This window comes from Homo sapiens, chromosome 21, assembly GCF_000001405.40.
Source record: "Homo sapiens chromosome 21, GRCh38.p14 Primary Assembly".
NCBI classification, from domain to species: Eukaryota; Metazoa; Chordata; class Mammalia; order Primates; family Hominidae; genus Homo; species Homo sapiens.
The window spans coordinates 7,669,397-7,692,773 of NC_000021.9; the positions used below are offsets into that span (position 1 = coordinate 7,669,397).

At 39.1% G+C, this 23,377-nt stretch overlaps 1 long non-coding RNA gene across 1 annotated transcript; it reads right to left on the reverse strand.

Annotated features, from left to right (window-relative positions):
- On the reverse strand, window positions 1-22,805 carry LOC102723360 (uncharacterized). Its single transcript, NR_170983.1, has 3 exons — window positions 22,757-22,805; window positions 6,018-6,182; window positions 1-1,986 (listed from the first exon to the last, which is right to left on the reverse strand). It is a non-coding gene; the product is annotated as an uncharacterized LOC102723360 (long non-coding RNA).
- Between the last annotated feature and the right edge of the window lie 572 nt (window positions 22,806-23,377).

Here is a 23,377-nt window from a genome sequence, read left to right on the forward strand (position 1 = left end):
TGAAATTGCAAAGTGTTTATTTGAGTAAGAGCAATTGATAAATTATAAAATATCAGACGGAAAGATATTGAGTGCTTCATTGACAGTGTAAGAAGCAAGTATTTATTTGAAAAATGTAGAAACAAAGAAATCATTTGGTGGTAGCACAACTTTTTTTATTGTTTTTTGTTTGTCTGTTTACCTTGTTGGACAGTTTCTATTTATATAAGGTTGTTGGCTACTTCTGACTGGTTGAGCTTCATTTCTCTTTTTTCAATATGCAGCTACAAGAAATAATTTAAGTTTTGTTTGTATTTGCAAATCAAGCGAGGTTGAGATCACTTATGAGACCTAACTAATTTTGTCTGCTCAGAGATTATTGAGACATGATCTCCATTTTAATTTCCTTTAACAAATTTTCTGTACTTTTACTTTCCATCCAAACAGTAACTTATAAATTATTATTGTTGTACATATGTAGGCCCATGTTGTGTATGCTTTGAAGACCTGTCCTGCATTCAAACTCATTTGTATTATGTTATTATTGAATTTGCCCCATTTATTGGAATTATAAACTGCAATCCCCCAACTACAAGAGGTATGAGCTCTGATGAGATAAGAGTAAAGATGAATCAGAAGTGAAAACAGTCCTCCAACCCACACATGCAGTAAAAACAAATTTCACATGAATACAATGAGTAATTATCTAAAATTTAAAGTACCCTGAAAACATTAATGTTTATCTCATTATTATGTAATATGGAAATTACAAGGCAAAAAAATCCAAAGACTTACTGTTTAAATATAATTGAAGTTTTTTATATGATGAAGTGCTCCATAATTTAAATGTAAAAAGCCAATAGGAAATATATGAAATAAAATAAAATTATACGTAAAAGTGACAATGCCTCTATTAGATTTAACAGTATCTTACAATAGAATAAGTTGAAACCTACAAAATGGAAGAAAGTTTAAAATTAGGCAGATATTATCAGCCTGGTGAAGAATAAATACATATGTCAATAAGCATTTAATGTATTTTGTCTTAGATTTTACATGAAATAATAAAAAGTAAGCAAACCAATAGCATGGTAGTTTCACCCTGATTGATTCAAACTGAAAAAATATTAACATTTCTCCATGAGAAGTTGGATTCATGGATTGGCCTCATGCTGCATTCAAGGCACTTTAGCCAGGATCCAACACTCATTGCCAAGAGTCAGCAGGCTAGAAGTTTGCTTTTAAGATGTTCCCCGGCCTGCGACCAAGACGCTTTTTCCTGACTACTTCTTCAACTCTGACATAGGTTTTGCTGATATAAACGCAAACCCGGCTCTATACCTACCAAGTATCTACTTGGCTAGAGCTGCAAATGGAGCATTTAGGCACTAGGCAAGAGCTCTTCCCACGTTTCCAAGCACACTTTCTAGAATTTCCCAAAACTACTGACATTGTCTTTCAGACCCCATCTCCCAAAGAGAATCAGAGAGATGGTCTGGAAGCCATTTAGAATCTCCAGCCTCCAACCTAGTAACAATGGACTTGGATACAAAGACGCAACCTACTGACCTCAAAGACACCAGCCCAGATTCTGGGCATTGAATTCCTGCCTCCCCATGAAAGATCTCAACTGAGTCACATCAAAGCCCACACTCTTCTTCAAGGTTCACCTTCCAGACACGCTCCAAAACAGTCCCTCAGAATTGTCTTGAGATGAAACAAAAGGTGATGAAGGTCCAGGTTTGGAATGCCTGCCTCATTCTTCACTCCTGAAAAGTCTACACCTGCTGGTTAGCACTCTCATATGTTAGGGAGCCCGGGCTCTGAGTGCATCCTTTAACAGGACCTCCTGGCCTTTTCCTACTTGGAGTAGAGTGCCCAAGAATAATAGGGAATACAAGGCCTCCACTCTCACATGGCTTGATTGACTGATGAACTGATGTCGGAGGAGGAAACATATGTAGGGAACAGCCTGGGTCTTGTGAATCCGTTTCCCAGCTATGATGCCTGTGCAAATGGAGGGAGAATCGTCAAGTATTATTGGGTGGTAGACAGACACTGCCTAATAAAATTAAGTAAATGTAAGGTGACTTGAAGGGGAATTTATCATATGTCATATACAAAATTTTAGTTGGTCAACTTTATTTAAAAACAGTCACAATTTGTAAGGGCATTCAAATATAATTTTAATAGGGAGCTATGAAAATTATCTGCACTTGCTATGTAAGTGATTGAGTTAGGGGTAACTATCTGAAGGTCATGAGCTTGATATCTGCTACTTAATTTCATAAGACATTTACTTGCAAATGGTTGCCATTTTTGCTCTCACTATATGAAAATTTTTTCTTGCAAAGAGCATTCCTATGAAAGAAAAACTAGAAATTTTGCCAATTTCGGCTATTAAAACGATAAAACTGGTTTGTTTGTTATTCTTAACCAAATGCTCTTACAGATGACACATAGTACCCATGCTTTGATTGTTTTTTGTTTTTCTTTTCACCTTAGGTCAATTGCCTTTCATTTTATTTATCAAACTGTATTTACTGTAGATAGACATTGCAGTTCTCATGTGCCCTATGGATTTGTACTTTCTTAGAAGTATGAAAAAATTCTCAGGCTGAGTATATTGGCTTATGCCTGTAATCCCAGCAATTTGGGAAGCCGAAGCAGGTGGATCACCTGAGGACAGGAGTTCAAGACTAGCATGGTCAACATGGTGAAACCCCATCTCTCTACTATTCACAGTTCACATTGTACCTTGCAATGAATATACATTTTATCCAAAAAGGCTAAAAAATAATGAAATTGGGGTGGAAATGGCTGGAAGTATAGGTGAAACAAAAATGACACATGACTAGTAGCTGTTAAATCTGGGTGACTGGTCTGTTATCCTTTTTTTGTATTATGTATACGTTTTTAATGTTCTGTAATAAAACACGTGTAGAAAATGACAAAGTTTATCTACACTTAGCTCTTAAGGTCTTGGTTACCTTTGGGAAGGAGAAAGTGTCAAGGGCATGAGCAAATCTGATTCTTACATACACAAGTGTATTTATTTAGTAATAATTCATCAAGCATTCCATAAATATTTTGTTCCTATATTGCTGTATGCATGTTATTCATCAATAAATATTTAAATAGTACATATTTGCATAACAATCCTAAATTAATATTTTAGAATAATAGTAATGTTTTGTTTTGTTTTAAAGTGGGGCGTGTTCACTCAGGACATCGTCAGGTGTATATTAATGTTCCAAGATATTTATTTACGTTTTAACTTTTGGAAGAGTCCCCTAGGTCTTTTAATTTTTACCTCAGTACAGTAAGTAGCATGGTTTTAACTTTTTGGATTGCAGCTTTGTTTTCAGAAAGGTTCTCCCCGAAGAATGATGCTCACCCCGGCCAGCGCACACAGCACAGTGACCCGTGCACAGGATGCACTGAGCACACACGGCACTGGGTGAACCATGAACAGAAGGACAAGCCAGCCTGGGTCTGCAAAATATACTTTGCAGGAAAAGCAGGTAAAATTGAAAGGTCACAATTCAGCAGCAAACGTTTTTACATTCATTTGAGAAATCATTTCTAACAAAAGCTGCTCGTTAAAGCCATGGTTTTCTGGCTTGCCTACACATTGTAATCACCTGCACAACTTTCAACCGTATTTTTTTCAGATCCAGCTCCAAGGATTCTGATTTAGTTGTGCGGTTACAACTTGGGTTTAAGGGATTTTGATAGTTTTCCTCCCCGCAGGTGACTCTCTTGCGCCAGGGGTAAGAAGCGCTGGATAGGGGTGAGGGGTGCTTTAGCTGTGAGAGATAGCCATGTACGCTTCAGGATTTGCCCCATCGCATATCTGGAGTTCGGGGTCTTAGAAAATATTCTTGCCCTGTTAAAAATTAAAGGATGGCTTCAATACAAATTTAGCTATTTGGCTACGTTGCAGAAAAAGAAAATGCCTTTCCAGAGATCAGTTTTTTGAGTCAGAGTTTTGTTCTGTCAGTGAGGCTGGAGTGCAGTGGTGTGATCATGGCTCACTGCAGCCTTGACCTCCCAGGCTCAGGTGATCCTCCAGCTCCAGCCTTCTGAGTAGCTGGGACTGAAGGCATACACCAGGCATGGCTAATTTTTCAATTTTGTTGTTGTTGTTGTTGAGATGGCTTTCTCTATGCTGCCTGGGCTAGTCTCAAACTCCTTGCCTCAAATGATCCTCCCACATCAGTCTCCCAAACAGTTCAACCTACACGAACAGGCAACCATGCCTGGTGTATTTATTAAAATGTAGCTACTAGAATATTTAAAATTCACATGTGCCTCACATATTATTTCTTAGAGAATTGCCTCATTTTTGAAATCTCAGGCTGCCTGCTCTAAAACCTGGATGTGCCAGGAAAGTAAAACATCTGAAATTTTAAAACAATTGTCATTATATTGCTTCCATGTATGAATAACACATATATATTTTTCATAAATACAAATAATCTTACACACAAATGAAAATGCAAGTATTTTACAGGCAGGGCCAGTGTCCAGTGCATGAAGGAAGCCCTGCCAGAAAAGGATCCAGGAAAAACTTATAATTCTTGCTTTATTCAATCCAGTGTCAAATCACATATGTCACTCATGGCCTGAGGGGGCTTGGTGGGGAATTGAACTATATCCAATCATGGGTGCTGGAGTGGAAATTATCTAATCAGGTGCACAGCTGGAGAAGAATGGGCAGCTTTTTGGATCTAGGGATGCCTTTGCCTGTCTCTCTACTCAGAGCTCAGGACACTAGAGCCACCTCAACGCAATTGCCTGTTTTTTAGTTGTTTTAATGCTCCAAAAGAGAATTAGTTTTCTCATGCATTTTCCAAATGTGTGGCAAGAAGAGCCTCAAATCTACCACCCTGTTACCCCAGCCTAACTCTGGCTTGCTGTCAGAGTTTAAATTTCCAGTTCTTTCCTGACACTTACCAACACTAACTAACCTTGTGTAACTCACAACATTATCAACTGTTCTTTATTGTACATTTTAGACACAGTATTTTAATTCTGCATTTTTTCAAAAAGCAGTGGATGACACTTAAAAAAATATTTTTCATTTGTAAACATTTTACAGGACATGAAAGCAGATAATAATCCCCTGACAATCCACAGTAAAAAAAAAGAAAAGAAAAGAAAAGAAAATATTTGTGCCCCTTTCTTTAATCTTCCCTTGGCACAGACACCCCATCAGAATGTTTTTGGGTTGAGGTTTCATTTCAGAAACCTCACAGGGCAATACATCCTCAGCCATCTTGTGTTATTTTCTTGGTTTTGGGTTTCAAAACTGTTTGAGAATCCCCAAGATACCAACACTGGCCATGACTCTTGAAGTGTCTAGTAAATAACATCCCTTGTGTCATCTCCTCTCAGGGAACAGCCCAAGGTATGGGAATGCAGCCTCTTTTTGGAGTGGTTGGATGCACTATACCTGGAAGGAATCTCCACGTATACATTTGCGCTAAAAGCAAACCCTTTAGGACATTAAGAATTTCTTACCCCAACGCTTAGTTTCCATTCCTTAGAGACACATTGCATGCCAGGCAACTGGATGCTGAATAGTGAGGAAAAAATGTCCTCAGATTGGTGAAGGGAGAGAAAATATTTCAAAGGACAAAGAAACCCAACCTAGTGAGGCAGTGCAAAAACCTGCAAAGTAAAATGCACCTCACAGACACAGTGGAGCAGAGCGTAGCAGCTCCTGGTAGGACGCTCATGACCCACATCACTGAACCAGATAGAAGCAGGGAAAATATCCCAAGTAATAGAACGGCTTGACTTGACCCTTGGGTCAGATATGTCTGTGTTTCAATCACCATTGTCACCTTCTAATTTTGTCACCTTGAAAATATGATTGTATTTATTTTAACTTCACTTTTTCATTAACTGTAAATTATGTTTTATCAGTAGAGCTTCAAAGGTATGAGAATATTTATAAAGCACATTAAGTTGGTGAATTTTGAATAAAATTAAGTAGTAATGTATTTCATTTGTTAAAAATTGTTACTTACCTATTTCCTCAGCAGAATGAGTGTAGCATGTCTCCCAGGTCTGTTTTTTATTTGTTTGAGAGGTGATTTCAAGCAGAATCTCACAGCTTACTGTTGGAAATGCTATCAGTTGTAAAGATAGGGAAAATCTCTCTTCCACTACGGTGGTAGGAAATGAATACATATCTGCAAGCACATGAGGTAGATTAATTGTCAAATTACATAAATTTATCACATAAGTTATTCTTTTTTTCAAAAGAGAGAACTTGTGAAAGTGAATAACTCTATTCCATATGCTGCCATCTGGGTGTTTGAGGGTAATGTTAAGTTTTAGGAGCTGGGACTTTGCACCTCCTGGAAGTGTTCACATATGATTAATTGTTTACTAAATGATTTGTTTTGAACATAATTAAATTACATGTTTATTTTCTGAAAGGGATAGATACTTTGGCTTTTCTTGATGAATTATAAGATATAAGCCCCTTATAATGTTTTTATTTTATTTTATTCTGTTATTTTTTAGATGTAGTTTCACTCTTCTTGCCCAGGCTGGAGTGCAATGGCAAGACATCTGCTCACTGTAACCTCCAACTCCTGGGTTCAAGCGATTCTCCTGCCTCGGCCTCCCGAGTAGCTGGGATTACAGGCATACAACACCACACCTGGATAATTTTGTATTTTTAGCAGAGACGGGGTTTCTTCATGTTGGTCAGGCTGGTCTCAAACTCCTGATCTCAGGTCATCTGCCCGCCTAGGCCTCCCAAAATGTAGGGATTACAGGCATGAGTCACCATGCCCGGCTGTAATTTCCTCTCTTTTATATCTTAGATTTGAATAATTTTTGCTGGATTCTTCAAACATGAAGTATTTTTTGAATTGAAAACTAACTGAATGACTAACTGGTAAATAGAAGTCTTAGACCATTGACTAAAAGCTAAGGCCCACCTTGACCCTGCAAAAGAGGACCACTGAAGGCCCAGTTGATTATTCCTGGGTGTCTGCCCTGCAGGTGTCCAAGCCTACTCACACCAACCATGGAAGGAGCCTTTGTCACTGCCAGAAGATATAGAGCCTTGGTAAGCTGGAAGTTCACAGGCAGATGCAGTTGAGGTTGAGATAGAAGAAATGTTGGGAGATTCTTTTTAGAATGGAATTGTTATTGTCCTCAGACTGTTTCTAGACTTGGTCTAAGAAGTTACCTAAGAAGTATTGCAACAAAGAAAAAGTACAAATGATTAGATCTTTGAGTATCTCTAAGGTTAGGTGGAAAAGGGCCTTATTTCATAGGGAGGAGAAAACAAGTTTACAAAGAAGGTTGGAAAGGAAGCACACGATGGAGGGTAGCAAAATGCGATCCCAGATAAGATAATGTTTCACCTTGAACTCAGCCTGTTCTTAGGAGGGGTATGTATAAATAAGGGTTGTAGGTTTGCTGAAGCTGTGGGTGAGTCAAAGTTCAGGGGCTGGTTGGAAGAAGAGAAACAAGCAAAGTTTCTTTAAGAGTATGTTATTTGGACCACTGAAGACTAAATTACTGAATGGTTGTTCATTTTTAAAAATGGGAATTTGCAATCTGTGTCCATTTTTGTGATAGGTTAAAAAAACAGCAGGGAGCATCCTCAAAGTCATCAGGGGAAGCACGTTTCTCTTCACTAAGCTGTTCTTTGAGAATGCAAAGAATGGGGGAATTTCTTTAAATATAGCTATTTCCAGGATTGCCTTCACCCACAACTGTTCCTTGCCCTAGACATCTCTTCCATTTGGCTGTTTCTGAGTTATATTTTTATAATAAAGTAGTAAATATAATTACAGTTATTTGTTGAGGTTTTCTTTTTAGTAATTCTATCAAATTATTTAACTTGAAAAGGGGTTTATGCTAGTCTCAGATTTATAGGAGGTAGCTCAGAAGTGTAGATGGGCTTCAGGGATGTGTAACTCTCCTCTACAGTGAGAGGGGTGATGTGGGACTGAGCCCTGAATTTCTGGGATCTGTGTGAACTCTAAGTTGTGTCAGAATTAAATTTTGGGGCAACAAATGGGTGTTGGAGAAGCAGTGGGTTTTCAGGGAACTTTACACATTTAGGATCAAAAGTGTTGTAAGGAGAAAGACAATGTGGGGGCCTCTGCTGGAGAGAGACTCCAGGTGTCTCGGGGAAGGTAGGCTCTGCTCTGCACACAGGCTGCTACACCATGCACTGCCCTGTGGTTCCAGGCATTCTCCCATGGTAAGAAGGACCGACGACTCTGAGGGAAGAAGTTCTGAGAACAGATGCCTTCTACCCTCCTGCCAACCTGAGGCCACCACAGGTTTTTCACCCACTGAACATACACACTGCATGTTGATGTGGCCAAGCCCCTCTCAGGACAAGGCTTTGGCATCAAGATTGTTGCCCATGCTACCTTTCCTCATAGACTTTCCCACCAAAAACCCACACATGTGCCTACAAGACCCCTGGCATACGTTCTACCTCAGACACCGAATCTGCAGGGGCAACCTGGTTTTTTCACCATCCCAGGTTTCTGTGCCACCTGATCATAATCTCGTCTTCCTGCATGGACACAGAAATAAGTCAGAGTAAAGTTTCACCTGGGTCAGTATCTGTAGCATGAACCAGTCCTTCCACCAACCCTGTACTGTCTCCCAACTGTGGGTTCTTAATAGCACCTTCCCCTCTTTTACCTTTTAGTTCACCTCAAACCTTTTATTTACGTGCACTTAGTGTGTCCAAGCCACCCCTCAGTTGCCTGAATCCAGCACCTACTAAAATTCAGATGTCCAGTAGTTCAAGACCATGGGCCTAGACCATGTTTTTGCAGAAGGAAATACATATTAGAAATGAGAGGCTCTATTCTCCCATTTGAAAATTAAAAAAGATATTTTTTCTTTTCCCTTTTCTTAAACAATGTAATTTAGAGAACTTTTTTTAGTAATTTTTTGAAATGGAATCTTACTCTTTTGCTTAGTCTGAAGTGCAATGGCATAATCATAGCTCACTATAACCTTAACTTCTTGGGTTTGAGCAGTCCTCCTGCCTCAACCTCTTAATTACCTAGGACTATAGGCATGCACCTCCAGGCCTAGCTAACTTTTTATTTATTTATTTATTTATTTATTTATTTATTTATTTATTTATTTTTTCAAGACAGTGTCTTGCTCTGTGGGCCAGGCTAGAGTGTAGTGGCATGATCTTAGCTCAATGCAACCTCCGCCTCCCAAGTTCAAGCAATTCTCTTGCTTCAACCTTTTGAGTAGCTGGCATTACAGGCGCACAGCACCATGCCTGGCTAATTTTTTATTGTTATTATTTTTAGGAGAGAAAGGGTTTCACCATTTTGGCCAGGCTGGTCTCGAACCCCTGACCTCATTATCCACCTGCCTCCGACTCCCAAAGTGCTGGTATTACAAGCGTGAACCACCATGTCCAGCCATATTTATTTTATTTATTTTTTTATGGTGACAGAATTTCACCATGTTGCCTGTACTGGACTCAAACATTTGGCTTCAAGAGATCCTCCTGCCTTGGCCTCCCCAAATGTTGGGATTACAGGCATGAACAGCCGTGCCTGGCCTGGAAAACTTTTATATGTATCTTTTTTTCTCTGCTTCTTTGAAATATAAGCAAATCATTTTAACAGCTAAATAAGCCTTTTGCCACTCTTCATGACACAGAATTGTCTTTGTCTAAGACCTGGAAACTATTGTTTTGTTTTTTAATTTGGCAAAGATTTATTGATTTTTTATTTTCAGTCTTTTGAAGTAGGCACAGCTCAGTACAGTGGCTCATGTTTTTAATCCCAGTGCTTTGGGAGGCTGAGATGAGAGAATTGCTTGGGCCCAGGAGTTTGAGACCAGCCTGGGCAGCCTAATGAGTCTCCTTCTTTATAAAAAATTAAAATCAACTAGCAGGGCATGGTGGCACAGGAGGCTGAGGTGAGAGAATCATTTGAGCCCAAGAGTTTGAAGCTGCAATGAGCCATGATCACAGCACTCTACCACAGTACTCCAGCTTGGGTAACAGACGGAGACCTGTCTCTAAATAAATAAGTAAATAAAAAAAAGTGTTTTTCCATACATAAAAATAAGTAAATAAACAGATAAATAAAATAGACATGGATTTGCTGAGAATAAAGCTAATTACAAGATAACAGAAAAGTGAGAACCAAAGATGGGGTTCACCCTAGCAAATGATTCCAGCCTATTAGAACACTCAGAATTTTCCCTGCAGCATGACCGACATGAAAGTAGAATGTCATCATGTCAGGCTGTACCAGCGTCGGGAGACTAAACACTGTGGGGAAGAACCTCCCTTATGGAATATTATCAACAGGTGAGAGCCCAGCTCCTGCCCTGATGGGCTACAGAAATGAGTTCCTGAGATAACACATTGCAGAAACATGCATAGAGTAGTTTAACCTTTTTTGTGTGTAACCCTTTCTCCATTTTCCTGCGAAATCCTCCCTAGTAATAGTGTTAGCTTTTAAGTTTTGAGGGTCCGATAGGACTGAAGCTGCATGCTGCAGGAGATACGTGGGGCCGGAAACTAACACAAACTGCAGCCACAGGCATAAATACTCATGGCCTAATGTAAAGTGAAAACTATACAAAATTCTTTACCGTTATTCGCACAAGTGTGTGAAGAGAGACTTTCCACATAACCAACTTGCCACTGAGACTAGTGAAGGCCAGATTCCACTGGAACAAGGCTATGAGTTACTCATGGGAAGGCCGTAGGACAAAGCCCAGAGATTTTTCATATTTGAGTCTGGGTCCTGTTTCTTTCCCTGTCTTCTCAGCTTTCTGTCTGTAGAGACCCCTATGTGGCTGCTCTCAGCACAGCCCAGTGCTGGCTGTGTTTGCTGGTTTAGTGCACCTGCTCTTTTTCCAAAAAGAGGGAGGAGTTGGCCACATTAAACTGAATGATGAAGCTCCTCATCAATCTGAATGCAGCTTTGTAAATGTGCCTAGAAACCACGCAAAGAAAAGTCTGTGTTCTTCCTTGCTTTGACCGTATGTGACACCTCCATTAGAAATTCTGCTTTTCTCTGCACTCCAGCCTGGGTAACAGAGTGAGACTTCATGATAAATAAAAAAGAAAGAGAGAGAGAAGGAAAGAAAGAAAGAGAGAGATGGAAAGAAAGAAAGAGAAAGAAAAAAAAAAGAAAGAAGAAAGAAAGAAAGAGAAAGAAAAGAAAAGAGAAAAGAAGAAAGGAAAAAAGAAAAGAAGAAAGGAAAAAAGAAAAAAGAAAATAAAAGAAATTCTTCTCTTCAGATTAGGCACATAAGGAGAATCTGTATAAATCTCCATGAAGGAAGGAAACCAGAGGACAAGTTAAAGTCTTGGAATTCACATCTGAGTACACAGACTCGTTCTCCAACCCTCTTCTTTTTATTCTGCCAGCTATGGCCTAGGTATGAACATGACAGGTACACAAGAGTTCCAACACCCGACAATCTACTTCAGTCCAAGAAGAGTGCCCTCCCTCTTGCTCCCCATCCAACTCATGGTACTAAGAAGTGGTGTGGGACTGCCCAGATGAGTTGACAAGAGAGGCTGGCGTGGAGGGGCCTGTCCTGGGCTGCCCTGTGTTATTTGTAGGTGCACCCGGCCAAAAGCCAGGGAAATCAGTGATGAGGGCTCAGTTGACATCTGTGTTATCAGATAAGACTTTTACATTGAGCCTTTGTAAGGCTGAAACTCAGAAATTTCAGGGCACAATGAAAGAGCATCTCACTCTCTTGAGCAACTCTCACAAACAGAGGTGGATACAGAGCTGTCTCAAGAATGTGGATTCCTGGTTTCTTAACTGCTGTTGGGTTCTGACACCAAGAAAGTATGTTAAACTCTTCAAGGTTCCATCTACTGGGCCCCATGTTTCTGTAAGACATACCGAAAGGCCCCACTATGCTACTGATTGCTCAGTCTCCTCTTCCATGTCAACTCTTTATTTGTACACAATTATGCAAACACAACTTCCCCTTAATTCCCTGGAAAGACCTAAATGCAACCTGGGTTCCAGGATAGAAGAGACAGCTGGAACATAACCTTGTTTTTCTTACCATCTCTGGGACCCAGTAAAAGTCACTGTATTCAAGGCTTCCCCAGCCTCCTAACATGCACACTGGTGATGATGCTAACATCTACTTCCTAGGGAATGTATTAGGTGTATATAAGATAAGACATAAAAATAATGATGTAGTGTCACCTGTAGATAATGCATACACTTAGAGATGGAAGCATTAGGAGAATAGGTGGGAGGTAGCATGGGCCACAACTCAAACAGGCCTGGTGTCTGCCAGGGTGATCTTGGAAATATCACTTCTCCACTGGGCCTCATTTTCATTCTGCTCCAGTATGAAGTTGAAATTAAATGTAGATACTGTCCTCTGGCATTCATATAGTTTAGCTGTGCGTCCCCACCCAAAACTCATTGTGTATTATAACCCCTAGGTGTTAAGGGAAAACCTGAGGGGAGATGATTGGATTATGGGGACGGGTTCTCCTCATGCTGTTCTTGTGATAGTGAGTTCTCACGAGATCTGATAGTTTCATAAGCATCTGGTACATCCCATGCTCTCACTCACTTCACTTGTCAGCCACTGTAATTGGAAGGTTTCTGAGGTGCCCCCACAATTATGTGGAAATGTGAGTCAATTAAACTTCTTTACTTTATAAGTTACCCAGTCTCAGGTACTCCATCATTGCAGTATGAGAATGATCTAATACAGGAATTCAACTTTCTAGTGCTTTCTCTTTATATTTAGAATCATATCCATGTGCCTTATCACGTCTATGACAGAGGAAGTCTTCACAAAGTCTCCCAGTACTAGGTATTGAGTGACTCAGTTTTTTATTGAATAAAATGGAATACTTCCTGATGCCAGTACTATGGCCCTTCGGTTTTGAGGAAAATATCATCTTGTATGTTGGCTAACAAGGAGATAGGAGTTCAAATCAAATTTGTTTTGTCATACTGGCTTTAAGGCAGTGATTAGAAAAGGCCTAATAGGTGGGTTCTGTAGGGGATTGCTGGAAGGAAAGTAGGAATATGGAAAGTCATGAGACATATACAGTCATCTCTTCTTGTTTCCTCACAGGTCACATACAAATTCAGGGAGAGTTAGTATGAAGCACACAATGGAAATTTGGGCTCCAAAGTCTGCAAAGTGATGCTTCATGGACTTCAGTTGGCAATATTGGTTCCAACAATTTCAGCCAATGTTTAAAAAACTTATAGCAGTTAAATTTTTAGTGTTTCAACAAGCCGTTTCCTATCTTTCATTCTGAAGATCCATTTTTTAAGTCTTTTTTTTTAACAGTATAGGGGGTACAAATTCAGCTTCTCTCCAATGAAACACAGAAAAGGATATCACTTTTGTATTAGTTCAGGCTGCTATGCCAAAGAACCATAGATAGGCAGCATATAGACAACAGGACTTAATTTCTCATACCTCCAGAGGTTCAAATTTGAGATCAGGGTGTCAGCATGGTTGAGATCTGGTGATGACTGGCTTCTGAATTTCAGCCTGCACACTTCAGGTTTTACCCTCATTTTGCAGGAGGATGAGAGCCCTCTGCGGTTTCTTGTATAAAGCCAGTAATCTGTATTATGAGGGTCCCACCCTAAGGGTTTAATTACATTCTACCTCCTTATAGCATTACGCCCGGGGTTACAATTTTAACACAAATATAGAAGAAAAATTATAGTAACTCTCAAGTTTTTTTTCTTTCTTTCTTTCTTTCTTTTTTTTTTTTTTTTTTTTTTTTTTTGAGACACAGTTTCACTCTTGTATCCCAGGCTGGAGTGCAGTGGTGTGATCTCGGCTTATTGGAACCTTTGCCTCCCAGGTTCAATTGATTCTCCTGCCTCAGTCTCCCAAGTAGCTGGGATTACAGGCATGCGCCACCACATCTAGCTCATTTTGTATTTTTAGAAGAGACGGTGGTTTCACCATGTTGTCCAGGTTGGTTTCAAACCCTTGACCTCAGGCGATCCACACGTCTCAGCATCCCAAAGTGCTGGGATTACAGGTGTGAGCCACCGCACCCTGTCAAGATGTTTTTAAAGCTCTAATTTTTCTCCTACTGGGTTTTTCTCGTTTGCGCCCTCGATCTTTCTGTCTCTTTTTGTGTAAACCTTTTTGTCTAATTCTGTCTATTGTATTCCTCAAACACAGGAAGCAAGCTCCAATGCTATGAGATGCTCCATGTAGAGACCCACATAACAAAGGGTGAGAGGGTGCTCAGACGAGTAGAGAGAAGGAAAGTCAGGCTCTCCAGCCACACTAAACCCTGTCAATTTTCACATGAGTCAGCTTAAAGGCTCATGCTTTCCCAGTCCAGCTTCAGTTAAGACCACAGCCCCCAGTCTCATAAAAGACCTGAAGGCAGAGGTAGCCAGCTGAGCTGTGTCCAGATTCTGGTCCACACACATTATGAGATATTATATGTTGTTGAAAAGTGCTGACTTTTAGGGCAATGTTGTCAGAAAGGAGCAGATATCTAACCTCATCTCCCAGGCCCTAGGATTCTCCATCCCTCTGCTTATCTCTTTCTCAGGCTGTCTGCAGCCAAACTAGTCCCTTTTTACCTCTGCCAAACTCACACCTATGAGTTTTTTCACTAAGGGTGGCTTCTCCCTGACACATGCTTGTGCAGATGCCTCCCTGCTGTCATCCTCATCATGGATTAAAAGTCACCTCAGTGAGGCCTGAGGTCCTCCCATGCAATAATTTTCCAGGTTTTCTTCTCAATAATCTACTTTATATTATAGTCCTTGCTCTTTTCTTTCACATATACTTGCTTTAGTGCTTTTGTCCAGCGGTCCTCAGATTGTTTGGTCCTGGGTTGGGGGGTGCAGACATGAAGTAATAATTTTCTGTACCACATGTTGGACCCACCAGGGTCGCTGGCAAATGGTGAGCGCAAGGGAAAAAAGACTGGCTAAGTGATTATATGGGGGATCCCTAATATCCCTTCCCCTTTTGACCACCTGATAATGTGGACATCACTGATAACAACATGAGGTGTGTGACTGTTACTTGTTCCAGCTGCTCCAGCAAAGCTCAGTGGGCACCAGAAACACAGTAGGCTGTAACCACCTCCTGGCCATCACTAACCCTACAGCCCCAAGCAGGAGCACTACTGAACAAATCTGATACCTTGATTTTTCTGTCCTCAAGACACTGGTTCTTCAAGGTCCTAGGGGATAAAGTAGCAGGATCTGAAGGCCCCAAGTATAATGAGTGAACTAGGAATCCCGTTTTGCCCTCTCTTTGCCTCCACCTTTTTGGTTGTGCTATTTACTCATGAGGTATCCTCCCCTTATCCAGTGAAATTATTTTCTACCACTTTCAAATGAGGACCTTAAGAACGCAACAGTAGCTGAGATTTTCCGTGGACCTCAGCCTCAGAGTCCAGTGCTCTGGCACATTTAACTCTGTCTCATCTTCATCTACCCAAGATGCCTCTCAAGTGGCCATGCCTCCCTCTGATTTGAAGGATCTGCAGAGTGGGTGCATTTTTGCAGTCTCAGAGCAAGAATCCAGGCTGGCAGACACTTATGAGTATGTGAAATCATCAAGGTCACCCACTTCAGGCACCCCTATTTATGAGGAAGAAAACAAGCTTTCCTGTAGGCACTGTCTACATTAGGCTGAGGTGGAGCATAGCTCATTTTACTTCCAGTTGCCCTCAGAGCTGGATGCAGAACCCCAGTCCTGTTATCTTGAAACTGACATGGAGAGGACCCCATGTGAACAGAACCCTGAATCTGCTCATTTTCTGTGCTCCTGAATGTGTAGCTACAGACTCTAATTTCGAAAACAAACCTGATAAGTGGGACGGTGCCAAGGCCTAGGAAGCTGGAGCCCTCTCTAATGCTCTGGAGCCTGCCCACCTCCTGAGATCTGGACCAGTCTCTGCCTCTTCTGGGGCCTCAGTTTCCCAATTGTAATGTAATGAGAAATTAAATGTAAAACTGCATAAACATATGCTCTGTGAGAATTTGGTGTCAGAGTTCTCAATACTGGATGATAATTTGGAGTGGGGTGGGTTTGGGACCCATGGGTTCTCAGGCCTCCTTTCACACCCAGTGCAGTAGGTGTAGAGCTCTGGACAGCCAGGTGTTCTTTCCTGAGCCAGCTGATTACAACACAATGGACCAAGGGCTCTGATCTTAAATATGGTTTCACAGGATACCCCACCTTCAGCCACCACCTGCTCTGTGCTTCCCATATTTTGGGGAGCTGATGACAAACCCCATTATAGTGAAGAAGAACAAGAAACTAGACTTGTGGGCCTGGGGAAAAGAAAAAAACACTTCTATTTCTCCCAAACTGTAGAATCTCTTGTCAAATATTTAATTTTGATTATATCTGAGCTTGATAATACATTCATGTGTTAACAGCTGCTTAAATTTATTTTTTCTGTGAAGTGTGGGATAATGTCTTTGCCGTATTTTAAATCAAATTCTAAAAGCTCTCTTTAGAGTGGATAAGTGAGCATCTTTGTAATATAAACTTCACATATTTGTTGCCAGTTTGTTCTTTTTGTTTTTGTTAAAATGTTTTGTTTTATTCTGATTTGGATGTCTTTTGGCGTTTTGCTTTGTGGCTATTTATTATGACAGTGTAACTTCTCCTCTAATTGACTGACGGTTTGTACATTCTCAATAAAATATTTTCATAAAATCTTTGTAAAAATTGTGTAGTCAATTTTACATTACATAAACATAAAACAGTAAAGACTATCACGATGAAAAAGGAAGATTGAGGGCTTAAAAAGTAAAATACGACACAGCTAAAGTAGTCTGAAAGGGAAATTTACAGCACTAAATCCCCACAAGAGAAAGCAGAAAAATGTCTAAAATCGACACCGTAACATCACAATTAAAAAAACTAGGGAAGCAAGAGCAAACAAATTCAAAAACTAGCAGAAGACAAGATTTAAGATCAGAGCAGAACTGAAGGAGATAGAGACACAAAAAGCCCGTCCAAAAAATCAATGAATCCAGGAGCTGGTTTTTTTAAAAGATCAAGAAAATAAATAAACTTCTAGCCAGACTAATAAGGAAGAAAAGAATCAAATACATGCAATAGGAAATGATAAAGGGGATATAACCGTTGATCCCACAGAAATAAAAAGTATCATTACAGAATATTATAAATACCTCTTTGCAAATTAACTAGAAAATCTAGATGAAATGGATAAATTCCTGGACACATATACCCTCCCAAGTGCAAACCAGTAGGAAGTCGAATCCTTGAATAGGCCAATAACAAGTTCTAAAATTGAGGCAGTAATTAGTAGCCTACCAACAAAAAGAAGTCCAGGACCAGACGGATTCACAGCCGAATTCTACCAAAGGTACAAAGAGGAGCTGGTACCATTCCTTCTGAAATTATTTCAAACAATAGAAAAAGAGGTACTCCTCCCTAATTCATTTTATGTGGCCAGCATCATCCTGAAACCAAAACCTGGCAAAGACACACCAGAAAAAGAAAATTTCAGGCCCATATCCCTGATGAATATCGATGCGAAAATCCTCAATAAAATACTGGCAAACCGAATCCAGCAGCACATCAAAAAGCTTATCCACCACGATCTAGTCAGCTTAATCCCTGGGATACAAAGCTGGTTCAACATATGCAAATCAATAAATAAAATCCATCACATAAACAGAACTAATGACAAAAACCACATGATTATCTCAATAGATGCAAAAAAGGCCTTCAATAAAATTCCACACCTCTTCATGGTAAAAACTCTCAATGAATTATGTATTGATGGAACCTATCTCAACATAATAAGAGTTATTTATGACAAATGCACAGCTAATATCATACTGAATGGGCAAAAACTGGAAGCATTCCCTTTGAAAACCTGCACAAGACAAGAACACCCTTTCTCCCCACTCCTATTCATTATAGTATTGGAAGTTCTGGCAATCAGCAAAAGAAAGAAAGAAATAAAGCGTATTCAGATAGGAAGAGAAGAAGTCAAATTGTCTTTGTTTGCAGATGACATGATTGTATATCTAGAAAACCCTACCATCTCAGCCCAAAATTTCCTTAAACTGATAAGCAACTTCAGCAAAGTCTCAGGATACAAAATCAATGTTCAAAAATCACAAGCATTCCTATACGCAATAATAGGCAAACAGAGAGCCAAATCATGTGTTAACTCTCATTCACAATTGCTACAAAGGGAATAAAATACCTAGGAATCCAACTTAAAAATGATGTAAAGGACCACTTCAAGGAGAACTACAAACCACTGCTCAAGGAAATGAAAGAGGACACAAACAAACGAAAACAATCCATGCTCATGGATAGGAAGAATCAATATTATGAAAATGGCCATATTGCCCAAAGTAATTTATAAATTCATTGCTATCCCCATCAAGCTCCCATTGACTTTCTTCACAGAATTAGAAAAAAAACTACTTCAAATTTCATATGGAATCAAAAAAGGTCTTGCATAGACAAGACAATACTAAGCAAAAAGAACAAAGGTGGAGGCATCATGCTAGCTGTCTTCAAACTATACTAAAAGGCCACAGTAACCAAGACAGGATGGTACTCGTACCAAAACAGATATATTGACAAATGGAACAGAACAGAGGCCTCAGAAATAACACTCAACATCTAGAATCATCTGATCTTTGATGAACCTGACAAAAACAAGTAATGGGGAAAGGATTCCCTATTTAATAAATGGTGTTGGAAAACTAGCTAGCCATATGCAAAAAACTGAAACTGGACTTCTTCCTTACTCGTTATACAAAACATAACTGAAGATGGATTAAAGACTTAAACATAAGACTTAAAACCATAAAAACCCCAGAAGAAAACCAAGGCAGTACCATTCAGGACATAGGCATGGGCAAAGACTTCATGACTACAACACCAAAAACAATGGCAACAAAAGCCAAAATTGACAAACGAGATATAATTAAACTAAAGAGCTTCTGCACAACAAAAAAAACTATATCAGAGTGAACAGGCAACCTAAAGAATGGGAGAAAATTTCTGCAATCTATCCGTCTGACAATGGGCTGATATGTAGAATCTACAAAGAACTTAAACAAATTTACAAGAAAAAAAGAAACAACAACATCGAAAATGGGCAAAGGATTTGAACAGACACTTCTCAAAAGGAGACATTTATGCAGCCAATAAACAAATGAAGAAAAGGACATCATCACTGGTTATTAGACACATGCAAATCAAAAACACAATGAGAAACCATCCCACACCTGTTAGAATGGTGATCATTAAAAAAATCAGGAAACAACAAAGGATGTGGAAAAATAGGAAGACTTATACACTGTTGGTGAGAGTGTAAATTAGTTCAACCAGTGTGGAAGACAGTGTGGTGATTCCTCAAGGATCCACAATGAGAAATACCATTTGACCCAGCAATCACATTACTGGGTATATACCCAAAGGATTATAAATTATTCTATTATAAAGATACATGCATACGTATGTTTATTATGGCACTGTTCACAAGAGCAAAAACTTTGAAACAAACCAAATGACCATCAATGATAGACTGAATAAAGAAAACTTGGCATGTCCACATCATGGAATACGATGCAGTCATAAAAAGGATGAGTTCATGTCCTTTGCAGGGACATGGATGAAGCTGGAAACCACCATTCTCAGCAAACTAACACAAGAGTAGAAAAGCTAACATCGCATGTTCTCACTCATAATAGGGAGTTAAACAAAGAGAACACACGGACACAGGAAGGGGAACATCACACACTGGAGCCTGTCGGGAAGTGGGGGACTATGGGAGGGATAGCATTAGAAGAAATATTCCTGGCCTAGGCCACTATTGCGATTTTCTAAATTTTGTTTCAAAAACATGATATGTTTCAAAAATTGTTATTGGTATGTAATTATATAAATATATAGTTCAGAAAAAAGAATCAACATTAATTATGCTTTTTCCAAAATACTTTATGGTTTTGAGCTCTTCTAGCAGTGACATTTTTGCTGTAGGTAATTGCTGTGTATCTGGTATATTCATCATAGCATACTTTGTGCCGTTTACACTTATCCTTCAATTTCCCACTCTCCTAAGTGTAAAAGTTCAAGGCCAGAGCTCCCATATCTTCCCAATATTACTTTTTGAAAAGAAGCTTCTATGTACTGTTTTCTCTGGGTCTTGATTGGATATATTGCTAAAAGAGCTGAAAAATAATAATTTTTTTAAAAATTCGGTGATGAGATTAAAGTAAATATATTTTATAAATCTAATGTACAAAATGAGGTCAGCTGAGAAGACAATGACAGTTGAAGCAGAACCTGAGATCCTGTTTCTCTCCATTGACATATGAACTTAACTACAATTGGGCGAACAAAGCCAGTTGAGTTTGTAGCACCCCACATGAGAAAAAAGCCAACCATAACCACATTTAGAAGAAAATTTGGTCACATTTGTGCACTACAGAACAGCGCAGTTAGATAAAAATCTGTCCATTCCATGATTCTCCTTTGGGAAAGAAAAAAGAGTGAAATGCGTATGCAAACTTCTGACTTACTGAGTTATACCGGGGTTATCTAAAGACTGGAAATTGCTTCCTTTAACATTTAGTGTTGATGAGAATAGAGACTGAGTTTAAATGACAGCTTGGGTCAACTGAGAATAAAGATAAATGCTTCTTACAACAACAGAGACTGTAGTGCCTACAACAGTGACGAAGGGAAGAGACTAAAGGCTCCTAAGAGGAAACAGAGGTAAACCTTATTAACAAGAAAATACATACAGTAGTCCAAAGAAGACACATTTTGACAACAGATTGGAGAAGCTCCCAGTATGACTACTGTGGCTGAATGTTGTCAATTTTCCCATGTATAAAGCTCTTTCATAAAGGATAAAATAGGTAGTGGTTTCTTAATTGATCAAAACCTTAACAAAACTACAGTAAGTAAAAGCAACCAGGAAATATAACCTAATCAAAGGAGAAAAATATATATTCAAGTGAACCTAAAGAAGTGGAGATCTAGGAATTATTTTTTTAACTTAAAATCTTTTTATTTTTCTTTACTTTTTCATTTTATGCAGAGGATCTTACTTTATCTCCTGGGACAGAGTACACTGGTGGAATCACAGCTCACTGTAACCTCAAATTTCGGAAGTCAAGCAGTCATGCCACCTATGTCTCCTGAGTAAATATGACCACAGTTGTGCACATTACCCCTCCTGTATAGTTTCTTTAAAAAAATTTGTACAAACAGTATGTTGCTGTGTTGCCTCGGCTGGTCTCAAACTCCTGGTCTCAGGCAATCCGACTGCTTCAGTCTGAAAGTGCTGGCACAAGCTACCATACCTGGAATTGTTTCTCTTTTAAGAAAAAATAGCTTTAAATCATTAATAGTAAAATAAAACAAAGAAAGGTATTGCGTAACGATAAAGGGTTCAATTCAACAAGAAGACTTAACTATCGTAAATGTAGATGCACCCAACTTTGGGGAACATAGAGTTATACAACAATTACTGCTAGAACTACAATAAGCCTCAAGTAGACACACAATAATAGTAGGGGAATGCAACTCCCCACTAAGTGTTTGACAGATTATCTAGGCAGAAACTTAACAAAGAAATTCTGGAGTTTGATTCGACACTTGATCAATTGAAACTAATAGACATTTATAGTATATGCAACACATCATCTAAAGAAAGTAAATTCTTCTCATCTGCTCACAGAATATGACAGGCCACAATGGAACAAAGATAAAAATCAATACCAAGAAAATCTCACAAAATCACAGAATGATATTGAAATTAAACAACTTGCTCCTGAATGAATTTTGGATAAACAAAAAAATTAAGGCAGAAAATTAAAAAGATTTTGAAATAGAAGAGACACAATATAACAAAATGTCTGGGTTGTAGGAAGAGCTCTGTTAAGAGGAAAGTTGAGAGTGCTAAATACCTGCATCAAGAAGTTAGAATGATCTCAAACTAACAATTTAACATCACACTTAGAGAAACTAGAAAAATAAAAACTAACTTACCCCAAAGCTAGCAGAATGGCAAAAATATTCATAACCTATGAACCTGACAAAATCTAATACTCAGAATCTATAAGAAACTTAAAGAATTCACAAGGAAAAAATTACCCCATGAAAAAGTGGGCAATAACAGACACTCTTCAAAAGAACACATACAAGTGGCCAAATAACATGAAAAAAGCTTATCATCACTAACCATCAAGGAAATGTAAATAAAAACCACAATAAGACACCATTGTACACCAGTTAGAATGGTTTTTGTTAAAAAGTAAAATGATAATAGATGTTGATGGGGTTTTAGAGGGAAAAAACCACTTATACACTGTTAATAGGAATGTAAATTAGTTCAGCCACTGTGGAGAACAGCTTGGAGATTTTCCAAATAACTGAGAGTTAAACTGTGATTCAACCCAGCAATTTCACCGCTGGGTATATACCCAAAAGAGAATAAACTATTCTACCAAAATAGCACATGCACTTGTTGGTTCATCACTACACTATTCATAAGAGGAAGGACCTGAATCAACCTACGTGCCTATTCATGGTAATTTTTTATTTTTTTGAGATGACGTCTCACTCTGTTGCCCAGGCTGGAGTGCAGTGGCACGATCTCAGCTCACTACAATCTCCACCTCCCAGGTTCAAGCAATTCTCCTTCCTCAGCCACCCGAGTAGCTGGGACTATAGGCGCATGCCACCAAGCCTGGCTAACTTTTGTATTTCCAGTACATACGGGGTTTCATTACGTTGTCCAGGATGGTCTCGATCTCCTGACCTCATGATCCACCCGCCTTGGCCTCCCACAGCACTGGGATTACAGGCATCAGCCACCATGTCCAGCCTATTGATGGTAAATTGAATTTAAAAAGTGTCACATGTACAGCAATACTACTTAGCAAAAACAAACAAAAAAAACCTCCTTTGCAGCAACGTTAACACAACTAAAGGCCATTATACAAAGCAAATTAATGCAGAAATGGAAAATGAAAATACTGCATATTCTCACTTATAAATGGAAATTAACACTGGGTACACATGGACAGAAAAACAAAAATAATAGACAACTCTTAGAGGGTGGAGAGAGGGAGGGACCAAGAACTGAAAAACTGTCTACTTAGTACTATGCTCACTACCTGATTGATGGAATTACTCATACTTCAAACCTCAGCATTATACAAAATACCCATGTAAAAAACCTGTGTAGGTACCTCCTAAATCTAAAATAAATTTGAAATTCTAAAAAGAGGTCTTACTCTCTCACCCAGACAGGAATACAATACGATGATTATAGCTCAATGCAGCCTCAAGTTCCTGGGGAACTCAAGGAATAATCTTACGTCAGCCTCCAACTTCC